Raw genomic sequence first — 21,346 nt, 5'->3', positions numbered from 1 at the left:
CCTACTTTACATACTTCGAAATGGTGAGCTCTGCTATATCTTACAATGGAATTTTAAAGTATCTCCTTCCAAAAAGTTATCTTCTTTGGTATGCCTTTTCTGGGCTTAAAAAAAAATTGATTGTTGGTCCAGTTACCATTTAGATTGATGAAGTTTAAGAATTATGTAATTTGTTTTCACTTAAGTGCATTTTCATTTCCTGGGACAAAATTTAGTGGCTCCTTACTTGTTAAATAATATTTAAAGACATATGTATTAGGCATTAAAACACTTTTTCTTATATAGTATATAGCATAAATATATGAATTTTTAATTAAATTTTTGTTGCCAGAATCCCATAATTTTAATATTTGGTTTGTCATTATCACTTTGAATATTAAAATTAGACAAGTTTACTGTTTGATTTATACTATATCATATATTTGAGAAAATGTCAAAAATATGGATATTCTAAAAACCATCCTTCAAGTCTATAAAAAAGGAAAAAGTAGTACATGTATTTTATTTAGTGTACATATAATGTTAATTGAGTTAGAAGTGATTTTCTGTATTTGAAAGTGACTTTGAATTCTGGTTGGATAAATTTTTTTTTTCATGGCTAATTAGCTTCTTACATAAGAAAAATATTTCACTTTAATTTTTGTGTTATTTGATTTAGGTAAAAACTCAACTATATAATATTTTTCTATGCCTTTAAAATTTTTCATTTCAATTTTCATATATTAGAGCTTCTAATATTAGATATAAGGTAAATTTTGATATCTATAGTTAAAAATGTCATTGGACTTGATTTCTAAAGATTTCCCTGCCCCTTATGAGTAGATGTGCCTTGGTGAAGTCACTCAGTCTTTCTGAGAGTCACCTGTAAAATCCAGTTGTTTTGAGTATTGAGTTCATGTAGGTGACAGTGTGTCCTGCACTCTGACCTATCATGTGTGTGTGGAGTGGATGCTGTGCCACACTGCCCAGATTCCCTCTCAGGACTGAGATACCCATCCCCCCCCCCCCCACTGCCACAGCTATATCCTTCTTAGATAATTGCCCTCAGTGTAAAGGAGCTGCTTCTCCCAAGATTAGGCTCCCACCCTCGGGGCAGCCTGCATCCAACATTTGGTTGGTACACAGATGCAAAGGCATGTCTCCCTTTTCTTAATTCTGAACAACCTTAAGTACCTTCCCAGTTCTAGAGCTCCCACCAGAGGCACTTGCTTTGCCCATCTGCCCATTGTTTTGCTCATTCCCTCACCAACATTGGTCCTCAGAGAGTTCCCAGTAAACTTCCTGCAGGCAAATCTTGGTCTCAGGGTCAGTTTCAGTGGTCCCCAATCCAAGACAACATGTAAGTTAACCTTGTATGTTCATTATGTGTTTAATTATGTTCACCTGAAATATGCCAGATAGTTTTGTGTGGCTATTTTATATTCCTTTCCTTCACCAGACCTCTAGTAATAAATCCTGTTACAGTACACCCAACCAACTTTGGCAACACACTGCGGTGTCATTTTTCTATTATTGCCTCTTGACAGCATTGCATCCTGAGACATTTTGAAGCTTAGGTGTTTGGCCTTCTGCTCACGCACAGAAGAGCTTCCTGGGTGGTCTGCCCAGTGGTTATGGAGAGTTTGGGAACCTGCTGTTCCCCCACAGCTAGTTCTTAACCAGACCTCTAGCATTAAAGGCTAGATAATAGTACTGAACTAGGCCTTGCACAAGTCCTTAAATAGATGTCATAAGTGATTACAGGCAAGCTCATCAAAGAACTACATTGGCTCATAACTGCCCATTCAGGGCAGCTTTCCCTATATAGTTTAAGTTTCCCTATATAGTTTAAGTCACTGCCTCTAAAATCTTCACAGTCAATAAAATGTTTTTAGTACTTCGTTGACATTTTTATGCCTTCACAAATACTCTCTGTGAACAGTTATATTTACATTGATTTATTTACATCCATAAATGCAAACATAATGTTTCTGAAATATTAACCTACCTACAAATTTTATTTTCCAGTCCTGCTAATAAACAAAGAAGCAAATAGCATAACTCTGACAGAACAACAGAAACTGCCCATTTCTCAGCATGTCAATTGTTAATACTCTTGTTTGAGCCACTGTTAACCCTGGCTTCGGATTGCCTTTGCCTCCTACAGTCTACTCCAAGGCAGCAGCCATAATGATCCTTTTAAAAAATGTGTTAATAAGTCAGATCCTTTTACCACAGTATTCCAAACCCGGCAGTGATTCCCCATTTCATTCTCTACCCCTTACCTCTCTGATTTCTTATTTACTTTCTCTCTGCATCACTCTGCTCCAGTCACAGTAGCTTCCTTACAGTTCCTGGAACATACTGGACACATTCCTGTCTTGCTTCATTGCTCTGGCAGCTCTCTCTGCGTGTAGTACTCTTCTCCCTGTTGTCTGTTGGGCTAACTCTTTTACCTCTAAATCTTTGCTCAATTGTTTTCCCTCTTTGAAGCTTATCCAGATCACCCATTTCATATGATGACCAGCACATCCATCACACTCCTTGATTCCAGGCCTGTATCCCCTGCCCTGATGTATTTTTTCTCCTTTACATAGCACCACCTTCTAACCTACACAGGGTGCATTTACCATGACGCTAATGAAACTTAAGCTTTAGGGCCCCTTCCCTGCATAATGCCTGTAAAATTTGCAAATGTAATGTATTTTAACTATAATTGGTTAACCCTATTGTCTCTTTCCACTTCAATTTCTTCTCTTTCATACCCTTTCTTATACCACGTGATTTTGAAATGATTGCACACATTTTTGAGGTATGGCTAAGGAGAAATTGAATTAGGGATACATTGAGTTGGGTGTAGTGGAATCTAGTTAGTGTTTTGCAGTCACTTCTCTATATAGCTCAGTTAGTACTAGCCATTTTGGTATGGAAAGAGCTTCCAGGAAGATAGCTACTGCCTGTTGACCTTATCGTGTACTGTTTTCTGATTGGTGCACTAGAGTGCCTGGCACCAAAAGTATGTGGGTGGGTGGTGGAAGAGAAACATGGTGTGAAATTAACAGAGCCAATTAATTGGTAGAATATTTTTCCACATTTTACAGCTCATATTTTAAAGAAATCTGATTGAGGTTTTCCAAAATGTGGCATCAATCCTAAAACTTTTAATGAAATGACCAATGAAATTGTGTTGCCAAAAGAAACTTCTAATCAAGAATAATTTTTTTTTATTAACCATGCTAGAGATAAGGCCAGATTATCTTTCGATTATCTCTATAGAAGATGTTACAGACGATGGGGTTATGCCCTGCCCAAATGTCCATCAATGATAGACTGGATTAAGAAAATGTGGTACATATACACCATGGAATACTATGCAGCCATAAAAAAGGATGAGTTCATGGCCTTTGTAGGGACATGGATGAAGCTGGAAACCATCATTCTGAGCAAACTATTGCAAGGACAAAAAACCAAACACCACGTGTTCTCACTCATAGGTGGGAATTGAACAAGGAGAACACATGGACACAGGAAGGGGAACAGCACACACTGGGGCCTGTCGTTGGGTGGGGGGAGGGGGGAGGTATAGCATTAAGAGATATACCTAATGTAAATGACTAGTTAATGGGTGCAGCACACCAACATGGCACATGTATACATATGTAACAAACATGCACGTTGTGCACATGTACCCTAGAACTTAAAATAAAAAAACAAACAAACAAAAAAGAAAATGTTACAGAATTACTATATGAAGAGGTGATCAAACACAATGCAGTAAAAAATGTGCTTTGGATAGTTAATGAAAATATTTTGTGACTTTTCCTGAATTTTTAATGTTTTTGCTACGTGTCAGCTTTTTTAATCTGTGTAAGTTGTTTTCTTATTCTGAGTATTTCATAACTAGTTTTGCATTGTAGTTTTGCATTGTTTTTGTTAAAGAAGACCCACTAAATTATACAAACTTCAGGTCTCACAAGATCCAGGTGTACCCTGAATATGCTATATGATTTACTCATTTGTTGTGTTCTGCTTATTGCTTATTGTCGGCCCCTCCCTCTAGTCCAGCACAGGGTAAACACATTGAGAGCAGGAATCTTAGTTCACTGATGCTTTTTAAGTTCCTGAACAGTGCTTGGCACGTAGTAGGCACTCAGTAAATATTTGTTGAGTGAATAAATTGACATTACAATGAAACTTCGGTGTTAATCTAATTTAGTTTAGCTTAAGAAAAGTCAATATTGACATGAAGGAAAGTAAAAAGACTGTGGTGCATAAAAAACACTCTCTTGAAACTCTGTACTTTGTGTTGCTAAGGGCATAGAAGTAACTTATTCCTATTTCTACATGTTTCTTCAGTAGTTGTTAGCTACTATGTTTTTCAACAGGATCTGCATCATGATTTTTTAGGTTCTATGACCTTATTCCTTAGGACCCAAGGCTAGCCTCAGCTGGCTTTCTGCATCATCCCACTCCAAGGGTGAGAATTTAATTTTAGAGCTATAGGGAGGTGAGGCCATGCAGAGAGCCACTGGGAAGCCAATACAGCAGCTGATTTTTCTTAAGCCAAGAATTGGGCAGGAAGAAAATAAAGGTAGACTACTTTTAATTTTCCCGTATCTAAGTCAATCATAGAAACTCTCTCTTTAGAAAGCTATCTTTGTTTAAACATTGGATATTGGAAATAAAAATATTCCTCAGGCAAAGGAGGAATAAGTAAATAAATATATTTTGGTATATATATTGCATTTTAAAAATAGGCATATTAATATAGAGCTTAAAAACTAGAGCTGAGCTTTAAGAAAAACAGAATCTCTTAAGATTTCAGTTTGGAGAATTTTTAGGTTTTTGGACACACAGTGAAAACACATTATATGTATGACTAGTGGAGGGCAGCCTCCCTTCACTTAAGCATCTAAACTTTTATATAACCACTAAAATATCTCTTTTTTTTATGCCCTTGTAGGATTTGCAGAGGTCACAGCCAATTTTTATTTTTATTTTTGAGAACACTTTTCTGGATGTAGAAGGGAAGGCTTATTATCAGCAGTGAAGAAAGTAGTGAGCTAATGAAGGTATTAGGTGTTGACCAAGACGTCTCTGCTTTCTCAGGTTAGCAGTTAGCACTTGGCACTGCTATTTTCTAGAATATAATTTGCTGCACTCTGACTCCATGTCTAGCAAGTCTCGACAAAGGAACATCAATAAGTTCTCCAAACTGAGCTTTTGTCAACACTAACCTTGTAGAATACATGCCACCTAGAATTGTGACCTTCACTGCTAAATTTCTCTGTTGCTTAAGAGTTTTGTTCCAAAGTTGAGCCCTGAAGAGATTATGGGGACAGTAAGAGTCTTTTCCCACATTATTTTCCATAGGTTTGCAGGCAAAAGTTGGGTTTACCAGTTTCCTTGGAAAAGTAGAGAGATTTTTTTTACTCAGAATTGTATCTTTACTCAGGATTATTACTTAAAAATAATCCTCAGTGCACCAAGGCTGAAAGCTGTAGGTTCTTGACTGGACTATCAGTAGCTCAATGAACGTCACTGACTGGAATGAAACCTGCAATTTTTGACATTACTACTCTTTTTATTTTTCTTTTTTTATGACTAAAGGCTGAGGAAGTGTTATTGAAACACATTATTTCTAAAACCAGGTTGAGACAATTAAATACATTTCAAAAACTTTCTCAAAAAATATAAAAAAGGTAGTTTTTTTTTTTCATTTTTAAATAAATATTCTTCCAAATTATCTTCTCTGGAAATAGCACTAGAAATAAATAAAATGGCTCTGCTGATGTGATGGGCATATCAGAGAGGGAAGAAAAGAACTTTTGAGAAAAAAAATAAAAAGCAGGGATTTAAATTATTCATCAGGCCCCTCTCTCAGCTGCTTCCTTTCTTGCCTGGTGAATGGCACACCCCACATGGATCCTCCGCGTGGTTGGAGGGGTGGTGTTCACTCTAGTGAAGCCATCCTGTCGGGACTGGTTTATTCAGATCCTTTTGACCAGAATGTTTGCTAGCATTTTTTTTTTTCCCCAGCGAGTGTTACATAATGCAATGTTATGAATTTTATCTCTGTTCTCAACAACTTTTTGGATATGTGCACTTAAAATGGATGACTTTCATCACACTGTTATGCAATAAATCTGTCAGGTTAAATTTCCTTTTAGTGTGCCAAAAGATTAGCTGAACGCTGATATATTTAAGTATAAACCAAAGTATGAATATTCCTTACCTTATTTGTGGCTTTATGAAGAACAAAATGAGCTAGTTAGGTTGCTATTGACTTTTTTTTTTTTTTGACACTTGCTTCATTTAAGCATCCGCTGTGGTCAGTGATTCCTCCTTTAATGTCCACATTTTCTTCTATTATAAGATTGTAGGGTATGCCAGTCAAATTAGACACTGAAACCAAAAGGAGAAGCAGGAGCCTTTCTTTTCTTTTAGTGCTGTTGATTCCATTGCCAATTACTTACTCACATGTGTTTATACAGTCGGTCCTTGCTTTGCACAATTCCCATGTACACAATTTTCAGTTGACATGGTACCATGAAAAAGGATGACTGCCTAAATTTATCTAAGTATGTATGAATATATGTATGTATGTGTGCATGTATTTATTTTTATTTTTGAATATGTTTATTTTTCAGGTATTTGAAAATGGTAAAAACACTGGAGAGATCTCTGTTGGTATCAGTAAAAAAGATTTGGGATCGGATAGCCCAATTCAAACTGACCATATGATGGAAAGAGTGAGTTTACTGACAGTTTACTTATGACTTTAAGTGTCTTGCAAGTTACTTGCAACTAATTTAGACAATTACATCTTAAAGTTGTTTGCAGAAGATCAATGGTTTGTTGATCTGTAAAGACTGATATCACAAAGATTTACTTCTGAATTTCTTAGGCTTTCAGCGTTAGTATAGTGTTAACTCCTGAACTCCATACCTAATGGTTTCTTAACCTTCTTCATGCTTATATTTGGAATCTGTCTATGCTTGGCCCTGGTTTTGATACATCAGGATTTCCCTCTTGTTTACAGTAAAAAAAAGTGATATATTCAGTGGAGGGTATGCCCTGGATCTAGGGTATTTCTAAACCCTAGATTCTGAGTAATTAACATGCAGCCTTGGTCTTCTCCCTGCTCATTGTGAGCAAGTTCAGCTAGTTTTGCTTACATCTTAGGCACTCTTACCTTTTTCTGTTTTCCAGACAATTGGGATGTTTCTCAGGCAGAACCAACATGCTCAGGCTCTTTATTTTGGGTCTTTGTCTTGCATAAAAGGACACTGAACAGCCTGTTGTTTACAAATTGGGGTTATGCACCCGAGCGCACAGCAGTGTTTTGGGCTCTCTTGCCTTGCCTTTGTTCAGTAACTTGCTCCCTTTTTCTCCCTTCAGTTCAGCACCCTCAGACTTACCTCTCCTGGTGGTATCCATTACCTGGCTTTTACAGCCAATCGAAAAAGTTGTATATGAATTGGGATGCTCTCATTGGATCATTAGCTGGACCTGGAAGAGAGGAAGAAAAGCTACTTTGATTAGAGAGAGAAGGATCCAGAGCCTTGGCTGGTTTCTTTTTACCATAACATAACTGATTACACAAATCACCATGACACAAAGGCCTTCATAGGATTTTTCACCTGTCTCCCCGGCTTTTTACATTAGAATATTTTACCAGCCTGAGCAACATGGCAAAATCCTGTCTCTACAAAAAATAAAAAAAATTAGCCTGGCATGGTGGCATGTGCCTGTAGTCCCAGTTACTCGGGGGCTGAGGTGGGGGGATCACTTGAGCCTGGGATGCTGAGGTTGCATTTAGCTGAGATCACACCACTGCACTCCAGCCTGGGTGACAGAGTGAGACCCTGTCTCAAAAAAAAAAAAAAAAATGAAGATATTATTCTATAGAAACTTTTTGTGTTGACTTATAGCACACTGAAATTGAGCTGTGCTGTGCTTCTGTATGCAATAAATCTGGGGCAAAAACATTAATTAGGGGCATTATAAAGTTCTTTGGGAGAGCCCTTGTGACACCACCCAAGGACAACTGCTCCCTTGTGTGGACACGTGTTTCAATCACTAGCCTAAGATGTTTCACACTCTTTTCAGGTTCTTGAACAAATTCTTATGCTATAAAGGCCTGGTGATGATAGCTTTAAAGATAAATGGGTGAAGATTATCACAATTTTTGGTTGCCACAGCAAAGCCCTAACCAATGACCTAAAGATGAAGGGCACAGAGGCCCTTACCTCCTGAAGACTGTTGAATGCTCATCTTTGAACACCTAAAATGCAGTCTGTCACCAACTTGAGAAAATAGAGATTGCAATGCAACTCCTGTGAAAGTGAATTTGGTTAAGTGGTCAGATGCTCACATCACATGTCTACCTCGCATCCCTCTTCTTTGTACACACATTTCCTTCCTGGATCAGGCCTTAAATCTTTGGTATCATTCCTTTTTATAAAAAGGTGATGCCTGTAAAGCAAAATCTCTGTGATTTAAAAAATGATCAGCATAACATGTTTTCTGAAATAATAGCAAAGCAACAAAAATAAGCTCAAGAGCTGAAACCACACAAAAATAAATGTAGGGCTTTAGAAATACAATCTATAGATTTCAAAATATGTTTGCCATTTCCATGGAAAAATAACCAAGGCAATATAGATTTTTACTATTCTAACACCTTTGCCTCTTATACACCTAAAGAGGAGAGTAATGATCATTTTTAATTCAAAGGAATTGGCTATGCTGGATGGGAAGTATTAATGCCTTTCCAATGCTCAAGACTAAAAATCTTCAGCTAATGAAAACACTAAGTTGGAGATACTATTACGTATCTCTAAGTAGGACAAAGCCTAATACTTAGATCCTATACATGCAGTTTCTGGTCAAAAGAAATATTTGCTCAGTCAAGAGTTTACAGCCAATCGTGAGACACCTGAGATGCATGGAAGACCTGTGACTTTCCCTTCTTTCCTCTAAGCCTCAGCATTTAGCACTTCTCAATATACCCTCAATGGGGATTAATAGAGGAGCAAAAAAGAAAAGAAAAGAAAGGACCCTGAACTGCAGTTAGGCCAGAAAAGACCACAGCTATATCTACATCCCTGCAGGGATTACAGGATAACAAGAAACCGAGAGACACAAGAACTGACAAGGGAGAGATGAAAAGGAACCCCGTGACAGAAGGCTGGGGGAAGAGTGATGGATAGGGTGGAGTGCAGAGCAAGGAAGAGCAAAGGCTGAAACACTTAAACAAAGGTGACAGAGGATAATGAAAAATGTCTTTTCAAATACCATATGCAGCACAGTTCTGTTAGATTTACTTTATATTTGAAATATGCCCTAAATTAGAAATATCTTGATAATTTAGAGACTCTAAATGCAAGATAGAAGCAAACACTGATAATGCTATTATCTTAAATATTAAATGACAGCTTTTCATACTTCACACTTCCATGATGTCTTTCTTACAACTTAAAAACATTCATTATTGAAGATGTCCACAAGCTATTTCAGGGTTCATAATTAAAATGCTTCTAGGGAGAGATCTTTGTAAGTGAACCAACTTAGGCTAAAAGTCATTTTAATTTTGGCAGTTGTCCTACTACTGGTTACCTGAGATTTGCTGGGGACAGGGAGATTGGTGATTGTGAAACTTGAACGTGGTCTGGAAGGCCCCTAACAAAATGTGTAGCTCAGACAAGAAAAGCGTAACCCTTATCAAAGAGGACCGTTACCATGTGTAGAAGCTAAATGCTCTTTCTGTAAGACTGTCACATCTGCTTTCAGTCCCCGTGCCAAAGGGTCAGAGCTCAATCACAAGCCTGTGGCCCCCCCTGCTGGTTAAAAGCCCATGCTCATTTTGTTACTTTACACTGAGCTAAACATTGCCGTCATTTCACACTTCTTTTAACATTCTATATGAATTTAATTATCATTTGTTTGGACTTCATTTGTTACAGAGTAGAGACAGTTTATTACAGATGTTCCCATTTTAGGTTATTTATTCTCCTCTATCCCCTCTGCCCCTCTAACCCCCAACCAGTTACTTCTCAAGATTCATCAAAGGCTTCAAGGTTCTTCCATCAACCCACCAGGCCTCAATTATTCTTCAATGCGGCTTTTTGATGAGAATGGCCAAGAAATTAAGAATCCACTTTCGCTGAAGAATGAGCAAAAAATTTGGGTCTCTTATGGTAGAGCATACAGGTAGGAGCAAGGGGTTTGTTTTCTGTCCTCAATCTTTCCAGGGGAGAGCTAATTTGAAAGCGGATTTGAGAAGTCAAGTAGCACCCTTCATGAAACATTTTTTATTTTGAATTCCAATAAAATTTTAGAGGTGTTTTTGCAAGGCAGTATTGTTGGTGGAATATGACATCTCCTTCTCTCTCTCTATCTCTGTCTGTGACTTTCTGTCTTAATGCCTTGTCATAGTTCTTGAAGTCTGCCTGTCAGCACAGCAAGAGGGATTTGTTCATGTCTGAGTAGTCACCTTAATGATAGCAGATGGAAACGCCACGGGGGGCCCAAGCCCATCACACTGTCATTGTCGCACACTGCCCTGACCTGCTTCCACTCCTCTATTTTTTTTGTCCCTTTTTAAAGGAGAAATGGATGGTAATTGAAAAGGATCTTAAGCAAGATTTATGAAGCTGTAGACAACATGATTCCCCACTATCTCTCTATGTTTTCACAAATAAAGTCTTAACCTTTTAAGCACCAATGACAGGACAGCTAAAGATAAATTGGTAAAGCTTGTAAGCCCTATCCTATCAAAGTTATATTCCTCAAAAGCACCTTACATTATCCCACAATAATTACTGGTTATTGCTGAGCATTGTGTAAATTTTTGTAGATTGGTAAATTCCTGCATAAAATTATCTGTGTTTCTGAAGAAAGAAAAAGGCTGCAGTATATAGGCACTGATGAGCTGGGCTGTTGTTTTCAATATCTAGGAAATTTATGCATATTTTGACAGAACACATCCAGATGAACTCTGAAACTGCTTGTCAGGAAACTTAAACACACTTCTCTATTTTTAATTTTTTTAGCTTATTATCTGTAGAACAGAATAAGGGAAAATAATTTTTCATATAGAGTATAACTGATCATATATTAACTATAATGAAAATAGCATAAATAAACCTAAATCTTAGCAAAGCAAGGGCTATTGGATTTGCTATATATTCAAATAGTTAAAATTTCGAATACTGAAACAAATGTACTCAGAAATCCATCAAGGTTTTGGAAGATGTTGCTAGAATAAGTTGTGGATCACATGTTACAAAATTTTATTTCATCTGTCCCAGATGAAATATTAAAATGCTTGATGATTTCTTAGGCTGTGTAATTTAGAGAATTAAAAAATCTCTAAGGAATGGTAAGTTTTTGTCCATAGATAAATTTCAAAATATAATTTAATTACGTTGTAAGTAGAATTGTTTTTTCAATGATAAAAACTGATGAATTTTAAAGTGGCAAGAATTCTTGAGTAATCTAGTAAGCCCTTCCTATTACAAGGATAGGCTTTAATAAAATGTGTCATTATTATTTCTTTTTAATATTATTGTCAAAGTGAAAGTAATGACTCACTAATTTTGATACGTTTAATGATGTTTGCTATAATACAGCATTTTAATAATATTAAACATTTGTTTTTGGCTAATTGGATCATATTTGCGGAATAACTGGTAAAATGCCAAAAATCTGAGATATTCTAAAAATCAGCTGAGAATTGTAGTCGGAGAAATTTACCAGTGCATATATTTATTTGTATTTCATTGTGATTTTAACAGTTTAATGTATTTTTTTGGTTTCCAGTCCAACATAAAGCACCAGGAAACCATTACAGCATTTTGCTACCATAGGAATGTTTAAAATGTATATGTCTAAAAAGTTATTGCCGTCTAGTTTGAAATATGTTGAGAAAATGTGCAATACGTGTTAAGTAAATCGTTTTCATTTTCAGTAAGTAATTCTACTGAGTCTAATTTATGTTGATTTGAAGGGGTCAAGCTACTCATTTGTAAAAGATGATTTTTGCCGATGTCCGCTTCTATTTTGAATATTTTATTTTTCCTTCAATTTTTTATTTTGAAAAAATTTAAATCTAAGGAAATTTGAAAAAATAGTACAATGAGCTCCTGTATATCTTTCACCTAGATTCACCAATTTAAAGAGTTTGCCACATTTGTTTTACCTGTTATATATCTCCCATCTCTCTCTCCCTCTTGAACGGCTTGAAAGCAATTCCAGACATTAAAATTTCACTCCTAAATGCTTCAGGTCACATAACTGAAGAAGAGTTATGTGTCACCACATTATAATATCTAACACAGTCAACAGTAATGTAATATCCTCTAATATACACTCTATATTCAAGCTAACCAAAATATGCTTTAGAGCTTTTTGTAATCCAGTATCCAAATATACTTCCTTGTATTATATTAGTTATTTTCTTTAGTTGTCTTTAATCTAGAATATTCTTTTAATCTTTTGTTTTGTTTTTCATGACATTAATTTATTTTTCAAGAGTCCAGGCATTTTTCTTGTAGAATGTCCCACATTCTGGGTTTGTCTGAGTGTTTTCTCATGATTAGATTCAGTTTAAATATTTTTGGCAACAAGACTGCAGAGGTGATGTCGTTGATTTTTAATTCTAGAGATAAATAGCGAGTCTTAAGCAATTTAGAGAAAAATGGCTCATAGTGTACAATAGTGGCCATTGTTTTCATTTAAAATCTGTTTTTGATTTTAATTTCCAAATTCACTTAAAACAGTGTGCCTAACAATATGTAATATGAAAATCAAATCAGCATGGCATTTAGTGAGCTCACAGAAATAGTTGTTCGTGGCCAAATATTAAGAATTCATTTAATTATCAGCTCCCAAGATTACTATAGATGTATTGGATTACTGTTATACATGGAAAATGAACATTATGTGAATGACGATTGTTTTTCTCAACTAAATACTTGGCTTTAATTATTGCAATTATTATTTTTTAAATTACATATGTTGAAACTATTTTGGCATATTATAGATCAGCTAAATAAACTGAAGTATATATTTCAGGTGTTAATATAGAATACCAGCAATAGTGCTATACAATAGGAAACTCACTTATTTCTGAATTTTATTAGACAATGATAATGTGTATTTTATTGTTTATTTGTGCTCAAATTACAATGTATGTCTAATTTTGAAGATAGTTTTGATGTTTTATCCGTTTTTCAGATCTCCACTAAATCTTGCTTTGGGTTTGACCTTTGACCGAGTGAGTGCATTTGCCAGAGGTGATATCATGGTTGCATATAAGACCTTTTTGGATCCTAATGCTGTTCTGCTACCTGGATGTGGCAAGTAAATTAACAAGTAATCTTGTTAAAGATGTGGTTAAAGTAATCCAAATCACTTAATTCAGGATTTTTCAGAGTAAGAGATTCGAAACACTAAAAGATGCTCTTTCAGTTGTCTTAAATAAGCAATTGTTTCTTTTATTGACTTATTTAATGGTATAATGAGGTAGTGCCTAAAAGACTTGTTAACTTTCCTTAGTTTTAGAAAACCATATGGGGCCATGAGCGAAGTATAGTTTCTGCTTTGCAGAAACAACAATTTGGTTTGAAACATAAAAGCTGTTTTTAGTGGTTATTTCTAAATTAATCATTTATAATGGAATCATTAAAATATAAAATATGTTCTGTGTGAGTGTTCACATTTAAACTTCTTATCTGATGATGATACATTTAAAACAAAAGCAATGTTCTGGGGACTCGTTGGGGCAGTGAAGAGTAGGAGTTGGAAGATCTAAGGAGGCATTTTGCTTCGTCTCTGCTCGTGATTGTCCAGGAGCAGATTGGTGTTGGTTTCTTATCTGCAAATAATACAAACTGGCTTTTACTGAGTGTTGACCATAGGCCAGGCACAGTTACAAATTAACTGGGTAAGGATCGATTTAATTCTCACAACAATTACGTTACTCCTATTATTCCATATTACTCTACTCTTACTCCATTTCTCAGAGACAGAAACCAAGGCACAAAGAGAGAAGTAATTTGTCCAAAGTCACACAGCTGGTACATGGTAGAGCCAGGATTCTAACCCAGATCATTTGTCTTAAGTACCTGAGTGCTTAATCACTATTTAGTGCCGTCCAATAAAACTTTCTGTGATGATGGACACACACTTTGTGACTACTGAGCATTTGAAATGTGACTAGTGTGAATGCAAAACTGAATTTTAAATTTTGTTCAAGTAAATTAATTTAAATTTAAATAGGAATAGGTAGCTAGTGACTACCATATTGGACACTGCAGCAGATCCTGATACTATTTTGGATTAGGTAATCTATCTATAAGTTCCCACCTAGCTATAACAACCTTATAATTTAACAAATTGTAGCTCTTTTTAATAAACAGTTGAAAATGCTGAAGTAGAAGGCAAATACAGAGAACCAAAAGCAGTCTGATGAGATCACTCAGTCCAGCCAGTGACAACCTATTGCTAAATATGTCTAGAGGGACATACTCATTGATAGTTGTTTAAATAACAGCTTTATTCCCCAATGACTGCTGGTACTTTCCAGGCAAGATTTGATATATAAATTATTAGTAATGGAGTATACATAAAGCATAAAGAGTATTATAATTAAAGAGTAAAGGGCATTGTAATTAAATGCATATTATTCTAATAAAAATAATTACGTATTTTACTTTTCTTAGTTGGGAAGTTTGTGAGGGATTTCCAATTAATTTCAACTGTACCAGTCAACAGATACCTGACCAGTTTGAAAAGGTGGACTTGGAGAACCATTTTCTACAGAACAAGGTGGGATTTTAGTTATTGTACTTTAAAAGGTGCACTTTATGTATTGGACACTCAACCAATATATAATGAATATTTGTGACAGTTTTTTTTTTTTTTTTCTGAGATGGAGTCTTGCTCTGTCACCCAGGGTGGAATGCAGTGGTGCCATCTCGGCTCACTGCAGCCTCTACCTCCTGGGTTCAAGCGATTCTCCCGCCTCAGCCTTTCAGGTAGCTGGGTCTACAGGCACGCGCCACCATGCCTGGCTAATTTTTGTACTTTTCGTAGAGATGGGGTTTTGCCATGTTGGCCAGGCTGGTCTCGAATTCCTGACTTCAAGTGATCCGTCCACCTCGGCCTCCCAAATTGCTGTGATTACAGGCGTGAGCCACTGCGCCTGGACTGTGACAGTTTTTTTAAACTATAAATTATATTACAGTTTTTTAAACTATAAATTATTTTTACAAATATTGGGGCAGGTGTTATTCTTTACTTCCTGTTAATTAACCAGGCACTTCAAAACGGAAAACAATATATTTAATTCCTACTTGAAAAACTTATACCTGATTTATGTTATTTAAGCTGTATTGTTTGACATATTTTCTTTGTACTGTTAATAGCTATAATAATAAGTTGGAGTTATTTAAGGAAGTCTTTAAGATGGCTGCTATCTCTATAGTTTAGGATCTGATCTATTTGCTCTACAGGTCAATGCATCTAAGGAACACAAGTTCTTTAGGAAACCTAACTCATGGCAACCCAATCCTGAAGGTCCATATCAATTTACACTTAGAAATTTATCCTTCCAGTAAAGAAGATGTTTTTTTTTTTCCCTCCAGCTCAATTATGAAAGGCGTTTTAAATCTATCTCCAAAGAAGGAATACTTATTTTGTTTTTCTTAGCTGGCAAGTGCTGTGTACGGTTGTTGCTCATTTTAGCAGTGTAAGCTTTAATTTTTGAACACATGAAATCAAAATCAAAAGTCACTCACAGAGACAGAGCAGTCCAAAGAAAGTAGGACTTCCTATCAATTGGGCCCTGTATTTCCAAGAGTCAATGCAAGAGACACATTGCCCCAACCTGCCTTTTTAAATTTCTTTATGCTCCCCATTCAGTTTCTCAATTATGTCAAAATTTAAACTGAAAATATTGATTATTTCAAGGAGCATATGGATCTAAATAGTGTACTTATAAAAATAGAATCAAATATTTCTACTTCTGCCGGGTTTTGAGAAAATATAGAAGATTAAAGTAACTAGAATGATGTACTTATTAATGTATTTTGTATTTTGCCTTCATCTGACATTAATATTTATTTACTGTAGATCTGATCCTGTTGGTATTCATCATTAGATTTTTGCTGTAGCATTATTTTCCTGCTGAAAACACATGTATGCCTGGCTGTTGCCATTTGAAGTTCCGAATTTTCGTCTGGACTTCATTGATCCCCATGATTCTCCTCTAATCTACCTCCGCTCTCAACTTACCTTTCCAATTTTCTCCTCTTGCTCTGTATACTGTACATTACAGTCAGGCTAATCAATTGTGCACCAGAACATGCTTTCCACTTTCGTATACTTGTGCCATGGCTTGTATTGTTCTTTGCCTGGGATATACCCCCAGCCATTACCATTACTTGCTTCTTAAGGCTTTACTCAACTTACTCTTCCATAAAGCCTTCTCAGATACTCCAGAAAGAATTAATCTTTATTTTGTATTCTCAGGACTCATTATCTTCCTTTGAAAATTGTTGTTGAGTTTGTGTTTTGGTATAGGTATTTGCTTTTGTGTTTTTCCTTCACTAAACTGAGGATTCTTTGGGCACAGGCATTGTCTTACTCATCTTTGTGTTCCTAAGCACTAATGCAAAGTCTTGAATGTAGGGCAAATGCACAATACATATTTGATGAATGGATTTTTTTGTTTGCTTGTTTAGCCATAACCTAGCTTTCAAGGCTGAATATTCTCTAATATGGTCTTTGTCTGTTAGCCAAGCCAGATTGTTATTTGTTTTTTTTCTGAAAGCACTCCATGATTTCTGTTGTTATGCCCATGTGGACCTCTTTGACTAGAATTCCACCTTTCTTTGTCACCACACCCAGCCTTCTCTGTCACCCTTGTGCCATATCCTAGCACAGGGTTTGGCATGTTCAATAAAGGCTATTAAAATCCTGCCCATCAGCTGGGTGCAGTGGCTCACGCCTGTAATCCAAGAACTTTGGGAGGCCAAGGCAGGCGGATCAGGAGGTCAGGAGATTGAGACCATCCTGGCCAACATGGTGAAACCCCGTCTCTACTGAAAATACAAAAATTAGCTGGGTGTGGTGGTGCATGCCTGTGGTCCCAGCTACTTGGGAGGCTGAGGCAGGAGAATTGCTTGAACCCGGGAAGCAGAGGTTGTAGTGAGCCGAGATTGCGCCACTGCACTCCAGCCTGGCAACCGAGCGAGACTCTGTCTCAAAAAAAAAAAAAAAACAACAAACAAACAAACAAAAAAACCCTGCCCATCATTGTAGCCCTATCTGATTTGTGACTGCTTCATGAAACCCTTCTGTACCCCAACCCCATTTCCAAACCAGATATGACGTTTCCCTTCTGCGCCATTTACAATGACATTGAACTAGATGCTGTTCCTCTTACAACTTCTTGCATGGCTCAAAATCAACTAGGCTCCAAGTTTGAGCATATTTCAGGCTACATCAGCGTAGATGGGGGAGAATGGTAGGCTCTATTGGGGATGTTAGGATCAGATCATGAAGGGTCTTAATTCAATATTAGGGAATTCTGGTTTTTCTGTAGAAAGCAAGGAGCCATTGAAAATATTTGAACAGAGGCAAGATGTAATCTGATCTTCATATTAGGAAGATAACTCAGGAGGTCCTTGTCTTATCCTCCCTGCTAGATTGGAAATTTCTCAAAGGCAAAGGACATCCTGATCATCCCTGTCTCTGATGCAATATCTAGATATTCAGTTAGCTGACCTGAATTGAATTTAATAGTCGATTAAGTAATTCAACAGAGACCAACTCAAACCTAAAAACAATTGGATAGCAAAGAGATATCAGAGAAAAGGACCTCAAAGGAGGCTTTTCTCTTTGCTTTTATGTCAAAGTGGGTTAACTATAACAAGATAAATCTATTTTCTAAAATGTTGAAAAATGAGAGAATAACAGTCCACAGTTATTTTATCATTATTAAATGGTTCTAATGATTTAGTGAAAATGAGAAAACACTCATCATAAGTAAATGGTTATATGCTATGGCATTTTTAGTTTTTAAAAATTTTAGTTCAACAAAAATAGTACTGTAAGAAAGCAAAAATTTGATAAACTGGCTAGTAAAGAGAAGCTTTCAAAGACAAACAGCTCTTCCATAGCTGTGAAGCCTTTAAAATCCTTTCAGAAAAATGTCTCCAATTATTTACAGAGTGGTGATCAGTGCATTGGGAATAGTAATTTAATAACCTGAAAAGGAGCACTTTTAAAGATGGATTCAGGCAGAGGTGATGGATATCTATAGGGCATTTTATTGTAGAATCTTGCTGCTCATTGGGGTAGAGAACACACTAAGAGGATTACAACAGGGGTTGAGAGAAGGGAGGCAAAAGCCGATATTCTTGATGCATATGTTTTAAAATTGGCTTGAGATAGAGATATCAGTGCCTAGCCCCTGACTGTTCTTTTAAATTTCCTATTGACAAGTAGAACCTTTCCTACAGAGAAAAATTTGGAACATATAATCCCCATTTGTAATGTGGGAGTCAGATATAACCCTGACAATTACAACCTGTTGCTCTCTTATCCATTTCAAAAACAGATTTGGAATCTACTACACATTGACAATTTGGTGAATACATTTTTCAACATCTCTCTATTGTTACTTAAATTGGCAACATTTTTAGATTGACTCAGTTTAAGGGCAATCAAACTAGATGTTTCCATGAAATGGGTGAGATTTAAACTTCATGGTAGTTAATATCAAATGAGATATTTCATGAGGAGAATAGCTTTAGGAATGCCTGGTTATGGGAAAATATAGCAGAAAAATGGACTCCAGTGTTTGGCAGGTCATATATTCTGCCAGACTCAAAAGGAAACTTATTTTAATTCTAGCCTTTCAGTACATGGCTTCACAGACATCAGCAGGACATTAGTGACAACTTTCTGTATGATGGAAACGGCAAGAAAAACATCAAATTATAATTTTGGAATTATGGTATACTTGTTACAATTTAGCTTGTAAATTCAGTAGTTATGGATGCTAGTAGAATGCATTCATAATTACTGAAGTACTGTATTATTCTGGCATTATTCTTTTTGTCATAAAGGAGGCTGGGAAACGACAAACAACTCTTTGCTGTTCTATTTCTTTGGAGAGCAAGTCATTGAAAAATGATATTTTGTATAAATTATGTATATACTGAAGCAAATACAAAATGCTAGTTAAAATTTTGAACGGATTGCCATTAGCATAGGACACGGGACTTGACTTAAAAGCCCAAGTCCTTCTCTTATATTCAGACCAGTTAGATCTTAGATATTTTGCCGTGTTTGACTGCATAATTTTGCCTTGCTGATATTTTCTACTCTCAACTCTTTCCATTTCTTGGCCTTAGAAGTAGGTGGACTGGTCAGCTATAAAGTTAGAGCATAGAAACAATAAGAGAGAACAGAAATTACATGAGGAAAGAGATTGTATAACATTTTCTTTAATTAGCTGTGATTTTTACTTATGTGTAAAATTATTCAAATTGACCCTAAATGCATTATCAAAAATGAACATCATGTAAAATTTCTTTGCAATAGAATAAACAATTTGTTCAAATGAGGGTTGTGCTCTATGAACTTCTTTCAAGAAACATTTCATTGTCTCGTGTTCTGTTTCTTAGTAAATGTGCAAGAGAAGATCATAAGTGGTTCTTTTCTTATTTTGAATTTGCACAAGAATATTGAAGGCTACTCCACCTTCATTAGCTATTTGGGAAAAATAATTAAACAAGTTTTAACTGGCCCAGCATGTGTATGCATTGCTTTATCATTGACTGCTTCTACATCAGCACAGTTTATTCAGAAAACAAAATTATAATGGTCACATAAAGGACCTATATGTGTAAGTGTTTAAAAGAATAAAAGAGAATTGTTTTGATTCTCAGTAAGACTTAAAAATGTTTTTAATGACATATATGATAGTATGCATTTAGACACCAGTCTCAATCTAAATGTTCTTAAACACATATGCGCATGCATGTGTGTACACGGGCGCGCGCACACACACACACACACACATACATACATATGGCATATTATGTTGTGGATTGTCAGAGCACTTTTTTTTCTTAAATCCCAACTTTCATAGTCCTTAACTTCCCACCCTCGTTTGGTCTAAAGCTAAGCTATCAAATTAATTTAAAAAGTGAAGTCACAGAAGAAAAATGTAATGGCCATTGTCAGTTTTAAACGTATCAGAACTCCAGACTTGGCAGGATTTTTTTTTTTTTTAATAACACAATATAAAGCTGGGTTAGTGGGCCTTGCTGTGTCTGTTCTATGTAGAATCACTTGGGAACTGTCCAGCAAAATATCTCTTGAAGAACAGCATGGTGTTAATACTGGGTGCCAGCCCAAGGCAGAGACAAAGGACCCCTTCACTCTTCACCAATAAGCCAACTGTTAAAAGATTAAACCATGTTGTGGAGATAACAAGAATATAGGCGCTGGCAGCAGGTGCTGTACAAAGAAGCAGTTGGCTGTATGGTTCTTCTGTCTGACTAATTTCAGTCAAAACAATCTTCTGCCCAGTTGCAGAGGGGAGTTTTGAGTGTGATGGCAACTTGGAGTTAGGAGGTTGAGTAACACTGCTACTTTAAATGCTGAGTCCTGTGGCAAATGGATTAGTACAATGTAGTTTATCATTGTTCAGAAACTGTGGGGATTCCCCTCCAGAATCCAGGCACTGTAAGCACTATAAGTCAAATCTGCTTAGGTGGTGGTGTTGCTGTATTTTTTAAAATTTCATTTTCACATATAGGAGTCTTATGACGTTTTCTTCTCTTGAGAAGTGACTTTCATTACAGAATAATTACCACATATATTAGTTTTATCCTTATGATAGTACCTGATCACACTTGTAAAATTTTTCCTTTTAAATCATCATTGAATTTGTGCATTAAAAAAATAATTTGCTACTCAACAAATATCTAGCATTAGCATAGATGTAGAATGGATGTTTTAGTGTTAGGAAATAAATTGTTATTGAAGCAACATCATTTATTGGGTTTTAAATATAAATTGGCATATTCCTATAAGCATACACAAATAAATATTGGTACTAAAAAACCTAGAATAATTACTCAGTGAAAGTGATCGTATAATTTAGGAGATAAAGTTTATTAAGTATGAAGTAATAGAATTCCTACAAGTGATGTGAGTGCCTAATAATTTGACAATTAGGTCTAAGTGAGCAATGCTAGAAGGTGCACAACACCTTTGGCATATGTAATCTGATAAGGAACACAGGAGATGTGGGTGCAATGTCTCCCCCTTCAGTACCCCC

The 21,346-nt window shown here is 36.0% G+C and overlaps 1 protein-coding gene across 21 annotated transcripts in view, besides 1 other annotated feature; it reads left to right on the top strand.

Annotated features, from left to right (window-relative positions):
- The window catches only part of DCDC1 (doublecortin domain containing 1), a 506,137-nt gene that overhangs the window by 252,749 nt on the left and 232,042 nt on the right, over positions 1–21,346 (top strand). For 18 of the 21 annotated variants that reach the window (NR_170625.1, XR_002957144.2, XM_024448478.2 and 15 more), the window contains 4 exons: positions 6,630–6,731; positions 10,031–10,194; positions 13,222–13,347; positions 14,709–14,814. Coding sequence is in view for 18 of the 21 variants with exons in the window: in XM_024448478.2 (XP_024304246.1) it covers positions 6,630–6,731; positions 10,031–10,194; positions 13,222–13,347; positions 14,709–14,814 (498 nt within the window). In the remaining 3 variants the exon portion in view is untranslated. Of the gene's footprint in view, positions 1–4,942; positions 5,089–6,629; positions 6,732–10,030; positions 10,195–13,221; positions 13,360–14,708; positions 14,815–21,346 lie in introns of those variants that run through there. The other 3 variants (XM_024448486.2, XR_002957145.2, XM_024448487.2) reach the window with 3 other exon arrangements.
- Positions 9,722–9,901: a silencer, noted in NCBI's record as "silent region_3218". NCBI's record gives its function as "represses an Ori minimal core promoter by ATAC-STARR-seq in GM12878 lymphoblastoid cells {active_cell/tissue: GM12878}" and the evidence as "EXISTENCE:reporter gene assay evidence [ECO:0000049][PMID:35858748]".

The sequence above is a fragment of the Homo sapiens genome, chromosome 11 (assembly GCF_000001405.40).
Source record: "Homo sapiens chromosome 11, GRCh38.p14 Primary Assembly".
NCBI lineage: Eukaryota > Metazoa > Chordata > Mammalia > Primates > Hominidae > Homo > Homo sapiens.
This window is presented reverse-complemented; position numbering and strand designations above follow the sequence as displayed.